At 34.9% G+C, this 27,214-nt stretch overlaps 1 protein-coding gene across 6 annotated transcripts in view, besides 1 other annotated feature; it reads left to right on the top strand.

The window, feature by feature from the left end:
* Positions 1 to 23,440, top strand: part of NBN (nibrin) — a 51,337-nt gene extending 27,897 nt beyond the window's left edge. For 5 of the 6 annotated variants that reach the window (NM_002485.5, NM_001024688.3, NM_001440379.1 and 2 more), the window contains 7 exons: positions 1,216 to 1,488; positions 3,080 to 3,527; positions 8,879 to 8,947; positions 10,476 to 10,631; positions 13,405 to 13,518; positions 19,696 to 19,745; positions 21,159 to 23,440. In NM_002485.5, coding sequence (NP_002476.2) covers positions 1,216 to 1,488; positions 3,080 to 3,527; positions 8,879 to 8,947; positions 10,476 to 10,631; positions 13,405 to 13,518; positions 19,696 to 19,745; positions 21,159 to 21,189 — 1,141 coding nt within the window. In that variant the 3' untranslated portion in view covers positions 21,190 to 23,440. Of the gene's footprint in view, positions 1 to 1,215; positions 1,489 to 3,076; positions 3,528 to 8,878; positions 8,948 to 10,475; positions 10,632 to 13,404; positions 13,519 to 19,695; positions 19,746 to 21,158 lie in introns of those variants that run through there. The other variant, XM_011517046.2, reaches the window with a different exon arrangement.
* Positions 7,818 to 9,017: an enhancer, noted in NCBI's record as "MED14-independent group 3 enhancer chr8:90959982-90961181 (GRCh37/hg19 assembly coordinates)". NCBI's record gives its function as "activates an origin of replication core promoter dependent on BRD2, BRD4, P300/CBP and CDK7 cofactors, and independent of MED14, by STARR-seq in HCT116 cells {active_cell/tissue: HCT116}" and the evidence as "EXISTENCE:reporter gene assay evidence [ECO:0000049][PMID:35650434]".

Here is a 27,214-nt window from a genome sequence, read left to right as displayed (position 1 = left end):
ACTGTGTTTATAAAAATAAGTGGCAGATCAGATTTGGCCTACAGGCTGTAGTTTGGCAACTCCTGTCTTAGGATAGTTTTTTTATTCCTTGCAAATGTACATGGATGACTGGAAAGAATTGTTCAACTTATTTGTAACTGGTGAGATAAGTTTGAAATACATATATTTGTATTGCGTGATGTTGCCTATATTTGAATGTTACTTGTAATTTTGAAGATACTTTATATGTGTCTACCTAGCTATTTAAATAGTTAATAGTTGTCCATAAAGATAGTTTTTCTATGGTTCTTTATCTGAAGAGGGATTTTGTTTTGTTTTGTTTTTAATGGAAGGGGTTAGCACTTTTATATTATTTGTTATTTTCTATTTACAACCGTATGTTTTTTATTTTAAATATGACATAATGAAGTGTTCATATTAAGATACTTAAGATATCACTGTATTAAACCTTATTTATTTTAATTTTTGCTACACTCATATTGAGGCCAGATTTAACTTTTTCAAGAGAAATTGTTAAGGTTTTGGAAGTTGCTTGAATGACAGCCTGACCTCTTGTTTTTGTTTTTTTTTTTTCTGTAAAATAAGAATAGCAAAGGCAGTGTCTAATTTAACCATACTTTGTAAAAGTAAAAAGTATATAAAAGTATACTCTGTGCATGTATGTTGAAAATATTTTTCTGGTAATCTAAAGTTCTGTTCTATTCTCGAGTCTGCCATCTGGCTGAAATAATGATATCAGTTCATTTACAGTGACCTGAATATCTTATATGTGATTTTATTCTGATTTTCCATTTTTAATAAAAAGGTACTATAATAATATAATAATAAATAATAATGAAAGTACCATAATAGTGATTTTACGTGGGAATAATTTAAAATTTTTAAACAAAACAGAAATTGCCTAGGATTATCACCTAGTTTAACTTATAATAGGCTATGCTAAGTTGGTATTCTGTGTGTGTTTGTCAGTCGTCTATAGTGGAGCAACAATATGTGCTGTAGGGGGTGAAGAAGAGTAAGGTATCATCCTTCCACAGGATGCTTAGGTAATAAAGGAGTTGCTTTCTTGGGATGGTAAAATATATTCAGTGTATTTTTGTCTAAAAATTATCTTCTAAGGTTATATTACGTTAGAACTATTTAACGATCTTTGTTTCTCTATTAAAGTTGCTGTAAACTTGATTATTTACCTTGCATTCTTTTCTTTTTCTACAGGGATTTGAGTGAAAGGCCAAAAGAAATCAAAGTCTCCAAAATGGAACAAAAATTCAGAATGCTTTCACAAGATGCACCCACTGTAAAGGAGTCCTGCAAAACAAGCTCTAATAATAATAGTATGGTATCAAATACTTTGGCTAAGATGAGAATCCCAAACTATCAGCTTTCACCAACTAAATTGCCAAGTATAAATAAAAGTAAAGATAGGGCTTCTCAGCAGCAGCAGACCAACTCCATCAGAAACTACTTTCAGCCGTCTACCAAAAAAAGGTCTGTTTTTGATAACTTCTCTCATGTCTCTGAAAAAAAAATGAAAGTTTTTTATACTGTTGTAGAATGGTATTGTCTTTAGTCTGTTCTGATTAAGTATGCTTCTGCTGCTGCAGCTTTTTGACCGCTTTCCCTCTCAGAAATGTCCCTGATCTCCTTCACTAGAGCCACTAGACAGTTTCTCCTTCATCTCCTTCTATGTATGTACTTACGTGTTATTTTACTTGCCGCAATTCTCTTCAATAAGAACTAACCCCCTGTCTCAGCTCTAAAATCACATTTCTGCTGGTTTTCCTTGAGAACCGCTCTCACTCCCTCTAGGACCATATTCCATCAATTATTTTCTCAATTTCCATATTTTGAATATATTGATCATCCCAGATTTTTTTCTTCTGTTTTCAAAAGTTCAATCTCACCTTTATTTTTGAAAACCTTCTCTTGACCTGGTTTCTTCCTCTAGCTACTGCTGCCTTTTTTCTTGTGCCGTCCCGTTAAGCTTCTCAGAAAAGATGATGTTATTTCTCCCATTTCTGTATGAACTTTGGAGGACTTCTTTTCTTCCCCGTACTGCTCTTTATACTCTACCTTCAGGTTTTGAGACTTTATTACTGACAATCAACATATGTGGCCCTAACTTTTCCTTTAAACTTTACTTCTTTTCCACAGGGGTTTCATGCTGTTTCCCCAGTAATAGACCTAAAAACTTTTTCTGTCCTCTCACCAAATGTGGTTTTGTTTTTTTTTTTTAGTAAAATAGCTTATGTTGTTACAATTTTTGACTCTTGTCCTCTGGCTCCTGAAATCAGTGTTATTGATTGTTATTTTCAGTGTCTGTCAATCCCTCCATTTCCATCTATTGCCAGGTTCAAACTCTGACCACCTAAATTATTACAAAAACCTCTCGATTGGTTGGTTTGTCCAGTACCTTGGCATTAAATTAGTGTTAATAGAACATTGGGTTGACTGTTCTTGTTCAACATGAATCCAATAAACTCCTGGAGAACAGAGTCCCAGGTCTTTGTGTCCTCTATGGGCTTAGTACAGTTTGCATAAAGTGTTTGGTATTTATTGAATGAATGATACAGTATTGTATAGGAAACTTTTAGTGATATATTCACATAGCATTTGCAGTATACAGTCAGTACCGTATTGTAGATTTAGTCACTCTGACTTACTGTCTTGAATCCATCTCTCATTAACCCATCAGATTGTATTCCCAGGGCAGTTTTCCCTGCCCACAACCTTACTACGTTATAAAGTAAGTTGCTGTCTCTTGGCAACAGTTTCTTTGTATTTTTATATTTTTCTACCTTTTCCTGTAATTTATCAACTAATGCAACTTAAGCAGAGAAGATAGAGATCACCGTACTGCTTTAGCCACAGGGTCCGTCAGTTCTATCAAAACAGCAGAATGTATGTGAGTTCTGCACTGTTTTCAAAGGTCTATTTGTTGATTTCCAGTAATATTGTTAATAAAATCAAGAGTACATTGTGAACTAAATGGAGGGAGTGATGAATATTGCCAAACTAAATGGTTACTTAGCTGTGTTCATTTTCTTGTTTTGTTTTCTTCTTTTTTTTTAAATCTAAGGGAAAGGGATGAAGAAAATCAAGAAATGTCTTCATGCAAATCAGCAAGAATAGAAACGTCTTGTTCTCTTTTAGAACAAACACAACCTGCTACACCCTCATTGTGGAAAAATAAGGAGCAGCATCTATCTGAGAATGAGCCTGTGGACACAAACTCAGACAATAACTTATTTACAGATACAGATTTAAAATCTATTGTGAAAAATTCTGCCAGTAAATCTCATGCTGCAGAAAAGCTAAGATCAAATAAAAAAAGGGAAATGGATGATGTGGCCATAGAAGATGAAGTATTGGAACAGTTATTCAAGGACACAAAACCAGAGTTAGAAATTGATGTGAAAGTTCAAAAACAGGAGGAAGATGTCAATGTTAGAAAAAGGCCAAGGATGGATATAGAAACAAATGACACTTTCAGTGATGAAGCAGTACCAGAAAGTAGCAAAATATCTGTAAGTAACATTTTAAATGAGAGGTATAGTACATAGAAGCTTAGAATGCTAACAGGTACTTTCGATTTTGTATTGACAGTATGAGCATCCATTAATGTCTTTAACACTCAGTACTATAGAAATTTGTTGGTTGATAAGGTAAATGGTAAATGTTAAAAGTACAGTGATTCTTCAGTAGTGTAAAATAAATGACCACAAATTAAACTTTCATATGAGATTGTTTTACTAGATTTCCAAATTAGGCTGTACTATTATAAAAGACATTTGGCTATGATGATAAGTGTAGGAGATGCTTCAGTATAAGAAACAGGCACAGAAAGATGAAGTTAGTAAAACAAAGTATCTACTCAATAAATTTTTAGGATATAACATCACTAGGAATTTTCATTTTCATTTAGGTTTTGTAATGTCCTTGTCTATTTTCATGACTGTTGATAATTTGTCTTACCCACTTTGATCTATGAAAACACCTGAGATTATTTTCTTTTTTGTATACATCAGTAAGTTGACTTATCTGTAGATTTGTTAGCTCTTTAGATGAGAGCACAGACCTGATGAAGTAAAACTTTAATATTCTGATCTCCAATGTGGATTCATTAGCTCCACTCATTCATGGCTGTGGTCATCCTCTCCAGTAACACCTGCAGAATAAGGACAGGAATAGGCGAAAGGATAGGATTAAGTGAACGGAAGTTATAGTTTATTAGCTAAGCAGTTGAGAACCTAGTGTGTATCAAGGACCTTATAAATCTACAACTACTATTCAAAAAACAGAACCTATGTCCTATTTGGCCTGTGTATTGTTATCTTCATATAGGCAAGGGAATCCCCATTATTTGTTACTTCTTCTGAGTGATCCTAAATGCCCTTCTGTGGACCAGCTGCATTGGAGTCAGCTGGTAAGCTTTTCTAAAATATAGATTCCCAGGCCAGAGCCCCAGAGATTTTCATTCAGTATATCTGATTTTCCTTCCCAGGATAAGTTCCCTCATTGGGTTAGCTAAGAATTCCTTTGATATTTTTAAAAATTCTAAAATCAGTGGCTTCCGTAAAATAGGATCTTTTTTCCCCTATAAAAGTGTCCTGGAAGTAGATAATCAGAGCTGCTTCCCATGGTATTAATTTACTAGGTGTCTGTCTTTCTGCTCTTTGAGAGGATACCTCCAGCCATCAAGTCTACTTTCCAGGGAGGGAGAATGTGATGATGAGGGGACAGGTAAAGGCCTTTCCAGCTGAATTCCTCCCTGTTTTCTAAGGAGCTTTCTCAGAAACCCAACTTAATAGCTTTTGTTATTGGCCAGAATTGGAAATAATTTAGCCACTCTCTATCCTCAATCTAGAAGAGTCTGGAAATGTTTTAAACTTGGCACATTGCTGTCCCTGATAAAGAGTTGCATTTAAGGAAAAAAGAGAGAATGAATGTTGAATTATCGGATTCCATTTTGCAGCCAGAGTGAGAAGTTCAGAGACAGAGGTTTTTTTTTTATTGTGAAGGATTTAAGACTACTCTCATTTCACAGATGCACTAAGTGAAACAAGAGATTTGTATGTTCTATAAGTCACTTCTGTCGCAATTCCTACTATGGTGGAGAGCTAGGTAAATTAGTTTAATGTGACATTTGTTGAAATCCAAGACATCATTTGCTAAGTTTAATACATTTACATATGTTTATAAAGCTATCTTTATTCTGTTGGTATTATGGATTTACATTGTTACTTTAGTTCCAGACTTTTCAGAATCTGTATTCAGGTTACTTAATATTACATGTAAGTGTTTAGAAAGTTAGGCACTTTTTACATTACTTTGGCCACACCTTTGGAAATACATTTCCCTTGCTGTGCTCTCTTCTCCTCTGATTTTCTCTGACATGTTATTTTCTTTAGTCTTCTTGTCCTAGTACATGCTTTAATCTTTTTTTTTTTTTTTTTTTTGAGACAGAGTCTTGCTCTGTCACCCAGGCTGGAGTTCAGTGGCGTGATCTCCGCTCACTGCAAGCTCCGCCTCCCGGGTTCACGCCATTCTCCTGCCTCAGCATCCCTAGTAGCTGGGACTACAGGCGCCCGCCACCACGCCTGGCTAATTTTTTGTACTTATAGTAGAGATGGGGTTTCGCTGTGTTAGCCAGGATGATCTCAATCTCCTGACCTCGTGATCCACCCACTTCGGCCTCCCAAAGTGACTTTAATTTTTTTTAAGTAGCTACCCCCACCCCACTTTTTTTCCCTTAAATTCCATCCCAGATTAGTCTACTGCTATGGTGGCCACAAATCTATCTGGAAATGGTTGTGGTTTTAGTCTGTAACAGCCCTCCTTGGCTCATCCTGGATGACTGCTAATTAATCTTCCTGAAGACCTACTTTCACTGCACATTCTCCCAGGGCTTATGTCACTCAGGGCACTGGGCATTAGAGCACAGACAGGGAAAGACAAGAACTGAGCACTATACACCCTTGACATGGGAGCCATCAAACAGTCTTTCATAGACCGAAAGAAACTTTCATTTAATATGTAAGGTTTATATGAGGTATAACGATATGAGGAAATATAATTATTTTATTTTGCCCTATGATTCTATAGCATAATTCCATTTTTCCTTTATTTTACTGTTTGAGAATTCATGACATTCTAAATGAAAATTACAGTACAAAATATGTTGTTGTAGGCTTTTGGAGAAAGAATAGCAATTTAATTGCGGTATCTCTCATTGAGATACAGTTGGCCCTCTGTATCCATGGGTCCCACATCCTCTGATTTTACCAACCTGTGATTGAAAGTATTTGGGAAAAAAAAAATGCGTCTGTACATGTACAAACTTTTTAAAAATTATTATTTCCTAAACAATGCAATATAACAACTACTTACGTAGCACTTACATTGTATTAGGTATTGTAAGTATTCTAGAGATGATTTAAAGTATATGAGAGGATGTGCCTAGGTTATATGCAAAATTTATGCTTTTTTTTATCAGGGACTTGAGCATCCATGGATTTTGGTGTCCATGGGAAGTCATGGAACCAGTTCCTCAGGGATACCACAGGGATGACTACTACAAGTTAAATCACTGTATTCCAGCACTATAATATTTTTAGTAAGAATCTGTAATAGCTACAAAAGTATTTCTGTTTTCAATGTAAGGTTACTTTTAAAAACTGTTTGAGACAATTGTTTGTCCACATGCAGCGAACCCTTTATCTAATTTCCCCTGATTGTTACAGCTTGCATAACTACAGTACAGTATCACAACCAGGAAATTGACATTGATAAAATCCATCAACCTTACTCAATGTGGGGTTGTTTTAAATTATTTTATTTTTGTTATTTTAAGAATTTGTCTGAAAGTCCATGTTAATCTCATGGATTAAAGGAATTGGTGCTTAATTTTTTTAGCTACAGAAGTGACTGTCAGAGAAAAATACTTCTTAATCCTTTCATTTAAACATTTTTTTGGCGATTTTTTGAAGGCAAAAAATGTGATACTTCTCTTTGGTGTTGGAATCCCTAGCTATATTTCAGAAAGGCACTTTCCAATAGATGTTGATGGTAGAACTGTCATTTCTCTGTTTTTGGATCTAAATTTAGATTATAGCATGTCTGTAAGATTTCCTGTCAGCTGAAATGGAAAACTATTAGCTTAATATTCCTCCTAGGACTTTATCCTTATACGAATGATAGCTGTGCCTGAGTCTTGGCCTTACTTTCAGTTTCCCAGTCTCTATAAAATGCAAAACTGACTCAAGATCCTTAACATTCTTCTCCTTAACAGCACCCACTGTGTCTATAGTATATTTCCTCTTCACTTCATTGTACTCTCCTTTCTCAAGTCAAGCATTTTTATATAGCATTTTTTCAATACCCAGTAGTAAATTCTTAAAACTACAGCATTTTCCAGTACCCTGTAGTAATAGCTACCACTTATTGGATACTTTTATTATATTTACAGCAACCCTACAATGCAGCAATTAATATCCTATTGAACATGTGTGGAAACTGATAGTGGGAGTTTTTAAGTAACTTGCCAAGGTCACATAGCTAGGTTTGACAACTCGGACTTAAACACAGGTCTGCCATGCTCTTCTGACTGATCCTTTTGTTAGCTTTCACTGTGTAATTCACTCAGTTATTCCATTACTGTAGGCATTGGGCATCTGCCATGAAAGGCAGTTTGAGAAGAGAAGTTTGATAGGCATTGAGGTAGAATCCCCAAGACTTGGTGGTTTACTTATATGGGAAATAAATAGATAGGAAAGAATATAAGATAATTTCCAAGCTTATATTCTGAGTATCTAGGTAGGTCGTATGATTCTCTGAGTTGGAAAATCAAAACTTGCTCAAGAGGAAGAGCAACTTTGAGAGAGTAGGGCAGGATGGGGAGAAGGTACATAAAAGGAGTTTGTATTCTGATTATGTATAAAGGGAGTAAAATGTTCTGATTGTGATAACAACTTTCTGTAAATGATATGTGCCTAAGTAAAATGGCACTTGATAGGCTTGAAACATACATTTAATTCTATTGATTAAAATATCCTCTTTACTCTGTGGGGAAGCACAAAGTACATTTGTTTTTCTGCCGTTTCCAACTTCATTTTTAAAACTTTTAAGACTTACTGCTGTATTACTGAAAATGTGACGTAAAATGTTATGTGCCCCACTTTGCATCCAAGAGAATTGTAGTTTTTACTGAAATCATTACCCATTTATGTAATATTGTTCCGTCTAGGACATGATCCAGACATGTTAATGTGAAAGATACTGTGACTAATATACAAGGCAGTCTTCATTTTTATTGCAGACAAATATCTTGAACAGTTGAAGTAACTGTTTCTTCTTTAAGTATGATTTAAGATACTATTGTAAACTTGAATTCTTTTAAAATGTTTCTTTTTTGATTTTAAAAGTAATACACGATCGTACAGACATGTAGAAAATAAAACAGACAGTTTGTTGATAATCCTACCATCTACAGACAACCATGGTTAATATTTTGGTATTTTCTCTTTCCATTTTATTTTGCAGACTGTTAGTGCAATTTTGTAGTCATTTTTTAAATTTACTTATAATCATTTTCCCATATTGTTAAATATTCTCTAAGCATGTGATTTATATGGATTTAGATCGCTTCCAATTCTTTGTCCTGATACTGCAGTATCTCTTTCAATATATATTTTCATCTCATAATTTCTTTTGGAAAGACAGTTGAAAGCCAAATGCCTGGTCATACATAACATGAATATCTCTTAAGTTTTTAGAAAGGAACCATTTTACACTTCATCTTATTCAAAAGGCCAAGAAGTGATAGAAACATACCATTTTATTACTCCTATGAACAGTATTTTTTATTTTATTTCTTTAGCAAGAAAATGAAATTGGGAAGAAACGTGAACTCAAGGAAGACTCACTATGGTCAGCTAAAGAAATATCTGTGAGAAACGTTTTATTAATTTTTATACAGATTTGGCTTACGGGGACTGTCATCTCATCAATTTTTGTGATTTTACATTCTTAGGATTATTTCTCTTTCCTAATTATGGCTTACTTCATGATTGTGCCTTGAAATGGATTGATCATGGTATTATTATTATTATTATTTTATTTATTTGTTTATTTATTTATTTTGAGACGGAATCTCGCTCTTGTTGCCCAGGCTGGAATGCAATGGTGTGATCTCGGCTCACCGCAACCTCAGCCTCCTGGGTTTAAGCTATTCTCCTCCCTCAGCCTCCCGAGTAGCTAGGACTACAGGCATGTGCCACCACGCCCGACTAATTTTGAATTTTTAATAGAGACGGGGTTTCTCTATGTTGGTCAGGCTGGTCTGGAACTCCCGACCTCAGGTGATCTGCCCGCCTTGGCCTCACAAAGTGCTGGGATTACAGGCTTGAGCCACCATGCACGGCCTGGATAGATCGTATTATAACCATGATGCAGTGAAAAGAGTATAGAGAGAAGCCAGGGTGTAATTCCCTGCCTTCTGCTCCTTAGGTATGTGGCCTTGAACAAGTCATTTTCACATTTAAGAACCTCAAATACTCTATAAAATGAGGTTGATGCTTTTCTAGCAGGATTTATATCAGATAAGAGTAATGGATGGGAAATATTTGTAAACTCTAAAAGTTTAGGCTGTTCTTAATAATGTGCTGATTACATTCTGTCACTATCAGATGAACCTTTTTTTCTGACTTTCCCCTTTTTTTTTCTTTTTGACTGCTTTTATCTTAGACCTATTAGCAACTTGCATATTAATTATGTAGTTACAGCAGTTAAAAGAACTAAGATGTCAACCTTAAGCAGCTGTAATAATGTTGATGTGTAACTGACTAGTTAATAGTAAATGACACGAAGCCAAGAATCTCATCCAGCAATTGAAAGATAACAGGAAGGACTCTTGAGGCAAATTTAACAGCTATTAATCTTGAATTAAAAATGGCTTGTCAATTAATGAGATAGTATGTCCAGAACTGATGATTGACTTTTTTGAGGTGTTAAGAATAATAAAAGATACAAACTCTTGAGAATCCCAAAAGTTTAAGAAAAGTAGATGAGGACCTGTAGAACAGGATATATTATAATCTCAGTGTACAATTTTAATGAAAAGCAAACAGTGCTGAGATTTTGTGTCAATAAGATATATATCTGGAGGTAAATTGTTTACTGAGATGATATTTATTAGAATAACTACTAGGTTAAAAATGCTTCACAGTTTTTAGCCTTCTGTCACAGATGAGTATGTTATAAATGTTTCCAAAGTTTATAGAGCATTTGAGTAAGTAATTTTCTTATCTTGAATTAGCTACAATTTGATTCCAAATACAAAGTTCAGGTACAAGAAATAAAACATTTTTACTATTTTTTCAGGTATTTGAACTTTTTTCTATAGATTCCCAAATGACAAGTGACTTTTCTTTGTTATTTCTTCTCTTTCTTACCTATCCATCTTAACCCCATTTAAGAACAATGACAAACTTCAGGATGATAGTGAGATGCTTCCAAAAAAGCTGTTATTGACTGAATTTAGATCACTGGTGATTAAAAACTCTACTTCCAGAAATCCATCTGGCATAAATGATGATTATGGTCAACTAAAAAATTTCAAGAAATTCAAAAAGGTAGGTATTTCAACTGTATCACAAGAGGTCAGTGTTTGAAATGTTTTTAGAGATACCAGTGATGCTAAACAAAGATAAAAGCAGTTTATGTTGAAAACTGATACTTCTTCTGCTTAAAATGCTTTAAAAAATTCCTCTAGGAAGGATATGAACTTACAGTTAATGAATATATTGAACACCTAGAATGAAATAGATTTCATCAAGATTGAATTCTTTAGAGGTTGCTGTTTACCTGGTTTTCTCTACCTTAAGCAGGAAGTTTTTGTTGATAATCACAGGATCTTCTCTGTTAGTCTAATATTGGTCTACAACTACTTGAGGAGGTTCTTTAGCTCAGGACTTTATGAAGATTAAAATGTATTTAAAATAACTAAGCATATTCAGTAATTCAAACTATAGTCTATATTTACATATAAAACACAATATAAATATATATGCTGAGTATGATCATCAGACCTGAGTTTCTGCTCATTAAGGAACTGATACTTATTTTATCAGTAATGGTTAAAAAAAGACTTCTATCCAGTAGGTATTCTTTTGTTGTCTTACATTTGCTTCTTGCTCCAGACCTACTTCTGACTGCTAGCCTTTACTTATCCATTTGATCAGAGTATAGTAATTACTCAAAAGTAATTTTTGTGGAGAACTGCTTTCCTCTATAACATGATCTTGCCATGACTGTGAGGTAGTAGAGATTTTTCTCTCTACTGTGAGCATTTACTATTAACATTTCACAGTTAAATTAGTTTTTTGCCTTCTGTAATAGTACCTAAAGGGTTCTGAACTCCATTTGATGGGAAGAATCTCTTCTACTTAGAGCAGAAGATGGAAATATCTTCCACTTAAATGGCACCACTATACCTTTTTGTTTAACACCACTTTTTCTCACCCTATATCTGAGGCTCATGAATAGCACAAAGGCATTCTTACTGCATGGTTACTTCATGTTTAATATTGTGTTATAAGATCTCATTAAATCAAAATTCAAAAGACTTTTTTTATAGTTTTACAAAGAAACAGCAGTAATGTTTACTACTGGCACAGAGTGGTTTATTAACAACTGAAGAAGTATGAAGTAATATGAATCTCTGGAAAGTGGTTTGGAAATACTTAAAATGTTTAAAAATACTGCTATCCTTAACCAAGTAATCTGTTCTGAAACTACAGAAGAAATCCAATCCAAAATTTCTATAGGAAGATGTTTAACTGGATTGATATTAATGCAGGAATTTGTCTGAGTTCTTTACATCTCCAAATCATGCTGGGCCTGGTCGCTCACACCTGTAATGTCAGCACTTTGGGAGGCCAAGGCAGGTGGATGGCTTGAACCCAGGAGTTCGAGACCAGCCTGGGCAATATGGTGAAACCCTAACTCTACAAAAAAATATATAAAAATTAGCTAGGCATGGTGATGTCTGCCTGTAGTCCCAGGTACTCAGGAGGCTGAAGTTGAAGGATCATTTGAGCCCAGGAGGCGGAGGTTGCAGTGAGCCAAGATTACACCACTGTGCCGGGCCAGGTATCAGAGCCCCAGCACCAGGAAGTGGTCAACTTGCGGGTTGGTGAAAAGAATTTACCGACAACAGTATAGATTTGGAAAAGGAAAGTTTATTAGAAAGGAAGAACACTGCAGAAGAATGCAGAGGGGTGCCTCAGCGAGAGGACTGAGCACACTGTGGCGGATTGTCCTTAGGAGCATTTATGGACCTTAAGGTGGGAGCTTGGGATTGTAAAATGAGTTTCACCATGGCATTCCAGAGATGTATAAAAATTTTAGTTACTTATAAAAGTTGAAAGAGGCCTGGAATCAGAAGCCGACTTTAGATACTAGGGAAGTTTGATTACTTCTAAATTACCCAGATAAGGAGTTTTGCCTCCAGTTAGCCTGTTTGATGGTCACCGGTTGGTCTTTGCCCCCTTCTAAATTGCTTAGAGAAGAAGTTTTGTCTCTGGGGCCTGTTCCATGGTCACCAGGTGATTTTCTCTCTCCTCACACTGCACTCTCCAGCCTAGGTGACAGAGTGAGACCCTGTCTCAAAACAAACAAAAAACCCTCCAAATCAATGACATAGCGTTTTTTAAACTTTTAAAATACTGCTTAGGGGTGAAAATAAATTTAAAATTCTCTTTCTACTTCATATATTGGAATTTTAAAAGCATGTTACAAATATTAAGGAACTGTTACTATTAACAATGTTATTAACTAATAACAAGTATTAACAATGATCTTGATGGGCATTTTCACATGGAATTTTCTTTTCTTAAAGCACCTCTTTACTAGTAAACAATTAAAATATCAATTAGAAGTATAAATTGTTGGCATCCCCAACATCTCCTGCTTGGACTCTGTGAACTGGAAAGTTTTGAAAAAGATTTAAATTTTCATCAATATTAGAAAGGGCTTAAGCTTTGAAGTCATTAGAACAAAATACAGTGCTTTGAATTGTAGTGTTTGTGTTCATCTTGAGTTGCTTTAATTGTTAAATGATAAGGTAAGGCCATTTTAAAATAAAAACTCCAAATGAAAAGTGTTAAATTATTTTTAATACATAAATCCCATGACATGTCCAGATCTGTATATAGTAATAGCTATAAAAGAAGGGCAAAAACAGATGGGTTTAGAACAGAGTTACTGCTCTCACTTTTATTTGTAGAATATAAACATCTTTGGCACTTATGCATGATTTACCATCTTTGCTTTTTAATCTTTTTAAAAAAATGGTCATTTTTGTTTGTTAATATGATTTACTGTACTACTTTTATTATTCAATAGGTCACATATCCTGGAGCAGGAAAACTTCCACACATCATTGGAGGATCAGATCTAATAGCTCATCATGCTCGAAAGAATACAGAACTAGAAGAGTGGCTAAGGCAGGAAATGGAGGTTAGTAGGAAGTGAGGCCCAGAAACTTGCTTAAATTGCACTTTGGTCCATTATGGTGGCCTTCAAGCAAATTCTTCTTAAAACCAAATTAAAATAAGTGACATAAAGTCATTCATTCAGGAGCATTCCTGAGTTACAGAGCATTAATCTATACCCTTCCATAACACTTCTTTAAAAGAATACTAAATTTATTTTTGTTAAAAAAAAAAAAAAAGGTGAGACCTAAGAAATTCAGTTTACATCCTAATGAAAAGGGGGAGATAAAAGCCACAAAAATTTAAGGGAAACTAAAAGAATGTGGAGGATATTACAAATATATCACTTAAATGTATGTCAAGGGACTGGCCTTTTTAAATCTGGGGATTGTGTTTTAACAATTCTGAAAATTTCTTATTCATTCTCTTGAATATTAGTTACCTTTTTACTGTTTTCCCCATTATCTCCTTCTGGAATTCCAACTTAACGTAAGTTAAATTTTCTTTTCCATTTGTCTTTCCTGTGTATTTCATTTCTTTGTTTCCCTGGGTTATATTTTTGGCAACTGCTGCAGATCATCTTCCGATTTACTACTACTGTCTTCAACTCTAGTTGGCATTGCATCCGTTCATTTATTTTTTCATTACTGGAAGTCTGTTTTATTTCTTTCTAAATCTTCTTGTTCCTTGCTGTTTTTCAAGCTTCCCCTTTTATATTATTTGCCTAATGATACCATTACCTAAAATGTTTGATCTGTTTTCTGCTCTTATGTACCTTGTTTTCAAGTTTGTGCTTTGTGATTTTTGAATATGAGCTGATTGTTTTCTTTGTAACTCGATCTGTAGGGTTTTCTTGAGTATTAAGTTCAGATGTATTTCCTCTAGAAAAGATACGTTTTCTATCTTCGAGTCTTCTACCAATATGAGACCACTTCAAATTAAAATCTCTCCTTGTGATTCTTTGAATCACCCAGACAGTTAGTATGTATTAATATTTGGACCAGAAGCTGGAGTGAATGAAGGCTGGCTTATCATTAGAAACTTCAAATGAGATTTTTATTTATTTCCTTCACTAAGTGCCAGAATGAAGATGGGCAAGTTTCTTTCCTAGCTCCTTCTGTGTTGTAAGGTTTATTTCTCTTTCTTCTTTTAGTGCTGGGTCTTTTATTAAAGTCAACATCTTGGGTTTTCTTTCGTATCACTCATACCCCGTATAGACATTAAAGCAGAGTTCAGGTTTTTCATGACTTGCAGATACTCATAGGGCAAGGCAAAAGCTGACTGTGGTCCTTGCTAACCTCTCAGGGTTCCTTATTTTGCTTTATAGTGGGTATAGTGTAATTCACTTTTAAAAGTGCTTTTTTCTCAGTTATTTTAAAATAAGGGTTATTTAGGAAAGTCACTTATGAAAGTAGAGTTGTTAAGGTCACTCAGGATACTTATTTTTAAAAAATGAAAGAATGGAAATCACATCCTTTCTCCTTTTCTTTTTTGAAAGAATAATTGGCTTATTTTGTAACATGTGCATTCCACAGAATTATGGCAGTACACAAAGAATGAAGATGTGAAAACCTAAAGCCCAGAAATTACCTATTTAAACAGTTAAGTGAACAATATTCCAGACATCTCTTCATTGAGGAGTAGTGAGAGGCAGGGACAGACTGGGAAGGAAGAGAGAGACATTGATAGGAGGAAGTTAAACTGAAGGCATTGCTGAATTTCTATAAATGTTTCTTCCCTCCAAGATATTTTATTTTGTGAGATCTGTCTAATATTAAGGAGGAAAACTATAAAAATCACTGTAAGTCGGAATGGGTAGTTTTAAACTTCATATTAACTTCACATACAATTATTTGTTGGCTCGCTACAGTGAAAAGTGAGGACATTATTAGTACTTCCTCCCACCTAGCCTCCCTTACCTTATGCCAGTCCTGTTTTTCCCTTTTTAGGTGACTTGCATGCATGACCAGTCATCTTTCTTAAGCTCGAAAGCCAGTAACACTCAGAATACATCTCAGTGTTGATCATTCTCCATTAGTTTTTCCTGACATATAGTATGCTGTTTTGATTTGCAGGTGTAATTCTCTTTCTCAAGGAACTTTTTTCTATTATATATTTTAAATATTTTATATTTGCTGGGCTCTCTATAAGACATTTAAGACATAACTATCCTTTCATTGGATTACCTTTGTCGTCCACATCTATTTTTTCTGCATTCACTGTGGTTTTCTTAGGCTCTTTCACTGTATCAAAATTTTACATTTCAGGTGTGTCTATAATGTTTCTCACCAAGTATGTGACCTTAGGCAAATTACTTAATGTCTCTGCTTCCATCTGTGCAGAATGAGAATAATAATAGTACCTTTATTTCACAGACATATGAGGATTAAATCAGATACTACATATAAATCATTTATAACAGTGGGAAGTGTTAGCTATTTCTAATTTAATTCTGAAAGGCTGTTATTATGGTTCTTTTACTTAGCATTTGTTCTTTTTTCATTTCATTGTTCTATTATCTGATTTTTTGTCATTATTTCATTGCTTTCATGTTTCTATTTTACTTTTTATTCGTGGATTATTATTTCCTGCAGATTAGGTTCTTTATCTGTTTTTTGCATGTTCTGTTCCAATATCCCTTTTTTTTTTTTTCCTCTAGTAGATGGAGTAGCTTTTCTGTTTTTTGCCTTCACTTGAGTAAAGGGAAATGTCTTTTCCAGATATTCTGTTTGCTACATAAAGGATCATATGCCATCTCATGCAGGGATTACATTCAGAAGCCAGTTTGTGAGACAGAAATTCAGTATAATCAAAATTACTTCTAACATTCTTGTCTTGCCCATAAGAACAGAATTCAGCCAGGCACAATGGTGTGGCTCATGACTATAACCCCAGCACTTTGGGAGCAGGAGGATCACTTGAACCCGGGAGTTAAGAGTAGCCTGCACAACATCTTGAGACCCTGTCTCTACAAAAAAATAAATAAATGAAAATTAAACAAACAAACAAAAAAACACAACAAATTAGCGGGTCATGGTAGTGCATGTGCCCATAGTCCCAGCTACTCAGGAGGCTGAGGTGGGAAGATTGCTTGAGCCTGGGAGGTTAAGGTTGCAGTGAGCCATGATTGAGCCCCTGCACTTCAGCCTTGGTGACAGAGCAAGGCCACATCTCAAAAATAATAATAATAAATAAAATAAAAATTAAAGAACAGAATTCCCTCATGCCTCACTGTCAGTATGGCATTATGCTGAAACAGTCAGTGGCACATGGCATATCCCATCTAGTTTCTGTTGTCTGAAGACATTGAATCTGGGAGAGGAAAGGCTCAGCTGGAGCTGTGTGCAGCTTGGGCTAGCTGTCTCCTGGGATTTTAATTAAATGTCCTATACCAGGGAGTGTGCCCTATATAAAAGAGAATAACCTAGCATTATTAGGTTGTTTACCTAATTTGTTAGGGATCCTTGGAGCCTATGTGTTTGGTCAGTGTCAGCCCTGCTTCTTTACCTTCTACACCATTAGTCCCTTCCCAGCAGCCCACTGGCAGTTGTTTTCCCTGTTCAGGTTACCTTTTCCCCAAATTTGGGGCATTAGTAAGAATCCTCAGGTTTGACCAGTTGTGTAGCACTTTTAATGGATTGAGACAGTATTAGGAATCAGCTGCATCAGAATCATTTGGTTCTTTTTACAGCTGCACTTTTTAAGCGTATGGCATGGCTTAAACTCTTCTCCTTGATTAATTAACACTGTCGAGTTTTGTTTGATTAATTTTAGATGGGAGAAGTTGAGAGAATGATGATACATCATACAGCTGCTGACTTTTTTCTATTTTTTTTTTGCTTATTTCATTAGGAATTAGATGGACTGTGTTCTAGATGATTTCACCAAATCACTTCTCTTTTTGCTAGAATCATTTTAGTTGCTATTGGTAGGACTTACTCTATAACAGACTTGACTTGCTTTTGCTGCATGGCTACTGCTTATTTATGTAAATGTTCTGTACTGCCATCTCATTTCCCTGTTTGCTGCAGCTATTCTTTTTCTATATTCCCTCCCTATTTTTCTTTTTCATCCCTTCTTTCTCTACCTCTGCTGCAGACCCACCAGTCTTGATTTTCATAATCACTGCGTCAGTTCCTGAAGTTCCCTTGAATTTAGGATATTTTCATTGTGTACATCAAACATAAAAATTATTTGAACTGTATCCAACCTGATTTGAATTTGAAAGACTGTGAGTAGTAGTTATCTCAGACCTCTGAAAAATGCCAGTAATATGAGGCATTTCTGTTTCTTAATACTATTTTATATGTTTTTACTGAAATATATGAAATAAAACTGCTTTCTCCTCAGTGGTTTTTCCTTACTATGCTACAACTTTATTCCCCAGGCAACCTCTAAGAATGTTTAGAAAAATGTTGCCAGTAGTTATTTTGACAGCTGTTTTATTAAAATGATGTCTTCCCATTTATGTTTTGCTATCCCTATTAGAAAATATGAAAAGATAAGATGTAATTTTGTTTCACTATATGATAGAAAAATCAGTCTGTAAGATCGAATCCCTGCAAGTCACTCTTGTAGGCTTGCTCTAGAGATTCAGAAGCCCTGAGGCAGCCTCGTTAAGAGCTGGTGCTCTTAATAAGGTAGACCTGGTCAAATCCCAGCTATTCCATCTGAGTTCCCCTATCTTCTGCAGGTTTACCTAACCTAAGTCTCTGTTACCTCATTGGTTAAAACTGAGATAATAGTATAATAGTAATGAAGTTACATGAAGATTAAGTGAGATTTCATATATATATATACACACACACACATATAGAGAGAGAGAGAGAGTTTAAGATAGTATCTGGAAGCATTCAAATGTAAATTAGTAACAGTAAAAATAAACACAGTAAGTCCTTAACATTGTCAGTAGGTTTTTGGAAACTGCAACTTTAAGCAAAATTACATAACCAATATTTTTTCTCATTATTACAACAAAACAACATGATTCAAGGAACTGCTGTATGTCATCTCACTTACAGTTGCAGTTTCCAAGAAATATCAAAAACATTAAGTCAGGACTTACTCTATCTGTATTTAAGGAACTTCTGGTCTTTTAGAGAGGATAGGGTACAAATATAAATAATTATAACAGAAGGTAGAAATTGATAAGCATCCTGGGAATTCTGTAGCTGAAGTTTTGGGAGAGTTCTTCACAGCAGGCATTATTTTTAGAAGAAGGGGATCAGGAAGCCTTTGCTAAAGAGGGGAAGAACATGTTCCTTGAAACATAGTAGGCACTAAATAAGTATTGAATGAATGTACCTTTAAAGATGGTTACATGTGGGAAGAGGGAAAAAAAGGAATTAACTTCCTTGGCAGAGGGAGAAATATGAACAAAAGCAGATAGAGGGTCACAGGATATTTATTAGGAGATGATTCTGGGGTTTTGTTTTGGTTTTGCTTTTTTCTTTTTTGTGTGATTCAGTTTTAACCGGCATACAGAGTCCACGAAGAGGAGGCTGAGAAGTGATTAGGAAAGTAAAATGGAACCAGGTTATGAAGAGCCTTGCACATTTCAGCGGGTCAAATGCAAGGGCTTGTGTTTTCCTTGGTAGGTGGGAGAAGTCACGAAGGGTTTCAAATTGCATATGATAAGGGCATAGCTAGACTTTAGGAAGATGCACTCAGCACAGGGAGTTTTTGATTCTGACTCTGTAAGGTGCTGTAGAAGTTTAGTGAGTTTGTATTTAAAAGGACTTCAGAGGAGAGGTAATTTAGCAGCAGCTTCTAAGCCCTGATGTGGGACCAAGAACACAGGAGCCTCTTTAACTGTGGAGCTGCTCTAGTTGAAGGTGGGGTAAATGTTGCCCTCTTAGTCTCATCAGTGGTCTGACCCCCAAGCACTGAAATCTCATTTAGTAAAAGGGTTTTGCTGGAAAGAGTGTTTAAAAACTCAGCAAGCTAGCAATATACTATTGGTTGTCTTTGAGTGGAGATGGGTGGGAGAAAGCTGTTTAGTTAGAGCTCTTTTGTAATAATCTTAGCATGGATTGAAAATATAGAGGATCAGTTGAATGAAATATTGTAGAGGCAAGAACTCAGATGTGGTGACCTCCAGGATGTGGAAATCTCTAAGATGACAGTGACCTATCACTATAGCAATTCATTAACTATATATTCACCACTGAGCAAATGTTTGAAATTATGTTAATTTTGACAGGTACAAAATCAACATGCAAAAGAAGAGTCTCTTGCTGATGATCTTTTTAGGTAAAGTTTGATTCACCTTTCTCATGTACCTTTGAGAGATGTATATAAAATTTAGTTCTGTTCATAGAAATTAAGAATTTGTTTCTTCTGTCCTCATAGACACCTAGTCCCTTCACCTAACACAAGTGTTTATTTTTATTACTTAAGCACCTCTCAATTGGGTTTATTGGCTATAGCATCGAGGTTTGGGGTTAAGTTATAAGATACTTAAAATTTGTATGGGGGCATTCAGGCAAAAAGACGGTTCCCGAATTGTGTGAAATTGTTGTATAGATTTGTGAGATTTTTCAGCTCTGAGTAGAATTACGATTGAGTTTTGAATTAAGACAAGTAAAATGCCAGACCATTTGTTTAGTTTTTATTGGCACATGCATAAAAACAAAAGGCTAGATTAAAGTTTCAAAGCAGGTTTTTGTGGGAGGTTTTAGAGTTGTACTTTGTGATTATAATTTAATTCTGATTTAATACATTTTCAGCATTCCTGCAGGCCTAACAAACCTATTATAATAATTGCCTCTGAAATACTAATAAAATACTATATTATAGGTAGATATCAGGGGAGAAGACAGAATGAAGAAATTATTTTTGAGTCTGTTTTGCAGCCAATTAGATTGATTCTCTAATTTCATAACTGACAGTATAAATTGCTGGTAAAAATGTTGACAAACAGGCCGGGTAATCCTAGCACTTTGGGAGGCTGAGGTGGGCGGATTACGAGGTCAGGAGTTCAACACTAGCCTGGCCAGCATGGAGAAACCCCGTCTCTACTAAAAATACAAAAATTAGCCAGGCGTGGTGGCATGCACCTGTAATCCCAGCTACTCAGGAGGCTGAGGCAGGAGAATCGCTTGAACCCAGGAGGCGGAGGCTGCGTGAGCCAAGATCGCGCCACTGCACTCCAGAGAGAGACTCCATCTCAAAAAAAAAAAAAAAAAAAAGTGTTGACAGACAATACTGGTTTTTCATTAGTCAAATGAGATGGGTTGTTCAGCCATATTTGTTTAACTGCTGTAGGAGAAAATGTTGTAAAGTGCTAATTACATTTAAGTAGATTATGCTCTTTTGTGCAAATGATATGCTTTTATTATGGGGAGGAATGGGGATCTTTGAAGCCATACAGAAAGAAGTGTAAACATACCTTCATTTTTAAACTGTTTTCATTAATTATTTTAAAGCTTTAAAGGATTTTTGTTATTGTTGATTTTTTTTTTGTTTTTACCATATTTTCATCAAAGCAACATCAAAGGGATACATGAAAATAAAAATGTCAGTGCTTAGTATCTGATCCTAAGGACAAAATTGTCATTCCCATCCTATTTGCCAAAGTGTGACTACAGTTTGAAAGTTCTTTACCTTTAAAAGAAATACCATCCCTTATCTAAATATCATTTAACCCCATTTCTTTCTTTGCAGATACAATCCTTATTTAAAAAGGAGAAGATAACTGAGGATTTTAAAAAGAAGCCATGGAAAAACTTCCTAGTAAGCATCTACTTCAGGCCAACAAGGTTATATGAATATATAGTGTATAGAAGCGATTTAAGTTACAATGTTTTATGGCCTAAATTTATTAAATAAAATGCACAAAACTTTGATTCTTTTGTATGTAACAATTGTTTGTTCTGTTTTCAGGCTTTGTCATTGCATCTTTTTTTCATTTTTAAATGTGTTTTGTTTATTAAATAGTTAATATAGTCACAGTTCAAAATTCTAAATGTACGTAAGGTAAAGACTAAAGTCACCCTTCCACCATTGTCCTAGCTACTTGGTTCCCCTCAGAAAAAAATTCATGATACTCATTTCTTATGAATCTTTCCAGGGATTTTTGAGTCCTATTCAAATTCCTATTTTTAAATAATTTCCTACACAAATGATAGCATAACATATGCAGTGTTCTACACCTTGCTTTTTTACTTAGTAGATTAAAAATTATAGGAATATCAATATAATGTTTTTAATATTTTTTCTTTTCCATTATGCTGTAGTCTTACCTAAACTCTGGTGATCCAAACAAAATGGCTTCAGTGGTGCAGATGTCACCTACATGTTATTCTAGTACTAGAAACTGAAGACCATGTGGAGACTTCATCAAACATGGGTTTAGTTTTCACCAGAATGGAAAGACCTGTACCCCTTTTTGGTGGTCTTACTGAGCTGGGTGGGTGTCTGTTTTGAGCTTATTTAGAGTCCTAGTTTTCCTACTTATAAAGTAGAAATGGTGAGATTGTTTTCTTTTTCTACCTTAAAGGGAGATGGTAAGAAACAATGAATGTCTTTTTTCAAACTTTATTGACAAGTGATTTTCAAGTCTGTGTTCAAAAATATATTCATGTACCTGTGATCCAGCAAGAAGGGAGTTCCAGTCAAGAGTCACTACAACTGATTAGTTGTTTAGAGAATGAGAAATGGAACAGTGAGGAATGGAGGCCATATTTCCATGACTTCCCTTGTAAACAGAAGCAACAGAAGGGACAAGAGGCTGGCCTCTACATCACTCTCACCTTCCAAATCTTGTGGAAGTGCATCTACTTGCCAGAACCAAATTAACTTACTTCCAAGTTCTGGCTGCTTGCAGGTGGAACTCCAGCTGCAAGGGAGTTAGGGAAATGAAGGTCTTTTTTTAAAAGCTTCTCAGCCTTCCTAGGGAACAGAAATTGGGTGAGCCAATCTGCAATTTCTACTACAGGCATTGAGACCAGTTAGATTATTGAAATATTATAGAGAGTTATGAACACTTAAATTATGATAGTGGTATGACATTGGATAGAACATGGGATACTTTAGAAGTAGAATTGACAGGGCATATTAGTTGATGAAATGGAGTCATTTGAGTCTCTTAATAGCCATGTATCATAATTACCAAGTGAAGCTGGTGGAACATATGGTCTCCATTTTACAGTTAAGGAATATAATGGACAGATTAATATTGTTCTCTGTCATGCCCACAATCCCTTTCTAAGGAAGACTGCCCTACTATAGCAGTTTTTATATTTGTCAATTTATGAATATAATGAATGAGAGTTCTGGTACCTCCTGTCTTTACAAATATTGGTGTTGTCAGTATTTTTCCTTTTTAACCATTCCAATCGGTGTGTAGTGATGTTTCATTTTGGTTTTAATTTGTATATCCCTGATAGCTATAATTGGGTCATAGAAATTCTTTATACATTCTAGATGCAAGTCTCTTGTCGGATATATGTATTGAGATATTACACCTAGTCTGTGGCTTGACTGTTTTCTTTATGTCTTTTGATGAATAGAAGTTTTAAATTTTGACAAGGTCAAATTTATTTTTTTCTTTTGTTTGATATTTTTTCTCTCCAATTTAACCCCAAGATTTCAGATATTCTGCTCTATTATATAAACTTTATATTTTTATATTTGTGATCTACCTTGAATTGATATGTATGTTGTGAATTATGGATCAGGGTTCTTTTTTTCCCCCATACAAGTATCCAGTCATTGTAACACTGTTTATTGAAAGAATTATCCTTTCCTCATTAAATTACCTTGCCAATTAGTAAAAAATCAATTAACCATAATGGTGGATCTGTTTCTGGACTTTCTGTTTGGTTACACTGAAATGTTTGTCCATCCTTGCACTCACTCATACCATACTGCCTTGAATTACTGTAGCTGCATAGATGCTCCTTAAGTTGGGATTACATTGTAATAAACGCAATGTAAGTTGAAAATACTGTATTTAAGTCAAAAGTGCATTTAATACACCTTAACCTACGTCATAGCTTAGCCTAGCCTACCTTAAATGTACTCATGACACAGTAGCCTATAGTTGGGCAAAATCATCTAACACAAAAGCTATTTTATTGTAAAGTACTGAATATTTCATCTAATTTATTGAATAGTAAACTGAAAGCAAAAAACAGAATGATTGTGTAGCTACTCACTATAAACATACACAGCTGAAAGCGCACTGGGCCTGAAGAATGTTTGAAGCATTGAACTAAAATTGCGGCATGATGGGGAATACTACAGCAACAGGATTATCAATTTCCCTACTGATTAGGCTTGAGTAGAAGCATTGGTTGAAGGCACTAAGGGCATCAATACTTGATGGTTTAGCAGGAATAGTGTTCTTCACAAAGAGCAAGAATCAGTTTTTACCCTCTTGATGCTGTGGCTGACGGGAAGCTACGGCTTGCTGCTGCTGCCCAGCATTGCAAGATTGAGTATTCTATGGGCACATTACTAGCCAGGGAAAAGAACAAAATTCAAAGTAGGCTTTCTACTGAATGTCTATCACTCTTGTACTACCATCTAGTCAAAAAATGGTAAGTCAGGACTATGCAGGAAGTCTAGAAGTCAGATACATCAGTCCTCTGAGCATGTCAATTTCTATCCCAAAAATCGGCTAGAATTATTGTGCTGAATCTAAAAATCAATTTGTGAAGAACTGACATCTTAAAAATATTCAGTCTTTCAATCCATGCATGTAAAATGTCTATTCATTTACTTAGATCTACTCTTTCCACATTGTTTTGTAGTTTCACTGTAGAGGCTCAGACATCTGTTTTAATCTGTCCCTAAGCATTTTTTTGGTACTGTAAACGATACTTTCAGAAAGTTCATCTTGCAATGATTTATTCTATATGAAAATACAATTACTTTTGGTGTATAGAATTTGGATCCTGTGAACTTGCTAATCTCACCTATTCTGGCAAAATTTTTTTTTTTTTGGCAGATTCCTTAGGATTTTAAGTACACAATCATGTCATTGGTGAATACAGGCAGTTTTACTTCTTCCTTCCAATTGTTTTTGTCTTTTCTTTTTCTTACCTATTACAGTGGCTGTCAATACAATGTTAAATGTCTTTATTTTTTATCTCAAGGAACTATAGATTTTCTACCTCTAGTAGTTTCAGTAGTTTGCATCTTTTAAGGACTTCATATGTTCCAGTAAGTTGTGAAATGTATTGGTATAAAAGTTTATAGTATTTGCGTTAAAATGTCTGTAATATGTCATGGAGTCTCCCTTTCCTTTCTTGTTACCTGAACCTTGTGTTCTTTGGTTCTTCTCTAACTAGAGGTTTATAAATTAAATTTGTTTGAAGAACATTTAATTTCATTGATTTTTCTCTAATGTATGTCCTTTTTCTATTATTTATTTATTTATTTATTTATTTATTGAGACTCTGTCTCGCTGCCTCCCAGGCTGGAGTGAAATGGTGCGATCTTGGCTCACTGCAACCTCTGCCTCCCAGGTTCAAGCGATACTCCTGCCTCAGGCTCCTGAGTAGCTGGGATTACAGGCATGAACCACCGTGCCTGGCCTCTCCTTTTTCTATTTCATTGATTTTCACTTTCCTTGCTTCTGCTTACTTAGGGTTTAATTTGCTCTTTTTCCCTAGTCCTTTGTAGATCATTGATTTTAAACCCAGCTTCAAAAATGAGTATTTAGAATTTCACTCAACACACCTCTTTAGCTGCATGTGACAAATTTGGTTACTTGAGTGATCTTTTGGCTCAAAAAATGTCCTAATTTCCCTGTGATTTTTTTTCACTGATGTATGGACTAATTTCCAAATATAATTTTTCCATCTACCAAAAGATACAATAGTTAATTGCTATTTATTTCTATATGTTACTATTTCTAAAATTCCACTGTTGTCAGAGATCATATTCAGTCATATTTTAATCTTTTTAAATTTTTTGAGACTTGTTTTATGGGCAAGCATATTGTTGGCCCATTTTGGTGAATATTCTGGTTGCACATAAAAAGAATGAGTATTCTGCAGTTTAGGGGTGTAGTAGTTCTATAAATGTCAGATCAGTGGTTGGTAATGCCATTGAATATCCCTTACATCCTTTCTGATTTTGTCTACTCAGTCTCCAACTATGATTGTAACTTTGTCTCACCTTAGTTCTCCATTGTCTTTTATGTATCTTAAAACTCAGTAATTAGGTGCATATACATTTAGAATTGATAAGTTCTCCATTAACTAAACATTGTTATAAAATATCTATCTCTAATACTTGTCTTGAAGTATTTTATTAATGTTTTCATGGTATGTCTTTTTCCATTTTTACTTATAACCTATTGGTATCTTTATATTTGGATAAAGCTCTTGTAAACCTTTTTGAAGCTTTTTATTGAATCTGATGATCTTTGCTTTTAAGTTGGTAGTGCTTAATCCACTTGTATGTAAATATAATTATTGCTACGGTTGGGTTGGAGTATATGATCATGGTTATTTTCTCACTTATTTTGTCCCATCTGTTTCTCTTTTTCTGCCTTCTTTGAATTATTTTTTAGTATTCCATTTCATCTCTTCTGTTGGCTTTACAGCTGTACCTTTTACTTGTTTTTAGTAGTTACTATAAGGATATGCATTCTTATCTAAAGTTAATAACACACCACTAATTGTATAATGTATACACCTGATAAAAGTATACTTCTGCCACGCACAGTGGCTCATGCCTGTAATCCCAGCACTTTGGGAGGCTAAGGCAGGCAGATCACTTGAGCTCAGCTTAAGATCACCCTGGGCAATATGGCAAAACTCCATCTCTACAAAAAATCAGCTGTGTGTGGTGGCACCTCCCTGTGGTCCCAGCTACTTGGGAGGCTGAGGCAGGAGGATCGCTTGAGACTGGGGTGAGGCTGCAGTGAGCCAAGATTACACCACTGCAATCCAGCCTAGGAGACAGAGTGATACCCTCTCTGGGGAAAAAAAATAAAGTATACTTCTATTTGTCTTTCTATACAGTGCTACAATTATCGTATATTTTACTCTACATGTCCTAAATCATACAATTTTTTACTTTTTGTTTTAAATTGTTTTTGGTTAAACACATTCTCAACAGTCAATTGGATTTTGAATAATTTAAGAAATGAGAAAATACATAATTTTTATTTACCATTTCTGGCATTTTTCTTTCTTTCATGTAGATATATGCAGGTATCATGTACCTTCAATGTGAAGAATTTCCACTTTTTGCAGTGCAGGTCTTCTGACAGCATATTTTCTCAACTTTCACATATCCAAAAACGACTATTTCACTCGTTTTGAAGAATATTTTCACTGGATATAGAATTTTAGTTTGGCAGTATTTTTACTTTAGCAATTCAAAGATATTTAAGACTGTCTTCTTGATTGCATTTTTTTCTAGTCATGTATTCTCATCATTGTTCCCTTTTTTCTCCGACAGCTTTTAAACTTTCCTATTTTTCTCAGCAATCTATTAGGTGCATAGGCGTGATTTCCTTAATATTTATCCTGTTTGCAGTTTGAGTTTCTTGGATCTATGGGTTGTAGATTTTTTAAATGAAATTTGTAAATTTTTCAGCTTTTAATTCTCCAAATATGTGTTTCTCTGGCCCAGTCTTCCTCTCCTTTTGAATTCCAACTGTACATGTTAGACACTTGATATTATCACATCAAGTCTGGCAATTGTTTTTTTAGTTTTCTCTATGCTTTTTTTGGATAGTTTATATTAACCTGTTCTCA

Source organism: Homo sapiens, chromosome 8 (assembly GCF_000001405.40).
Source record: "Homo sapiens chromosome 8, GRCh38.p14 Primary Assembly".
NCBI lineage: Eukaryota > Metazoa > Chordata > Mammalia > Primates > Hominidae > Homo > Homo sapiens.
The sequence above is the reverse complement of the archived record's forward strand: the minus strand, read 5'-3'. Positions and strand labels throughout refer to the sequence as shown.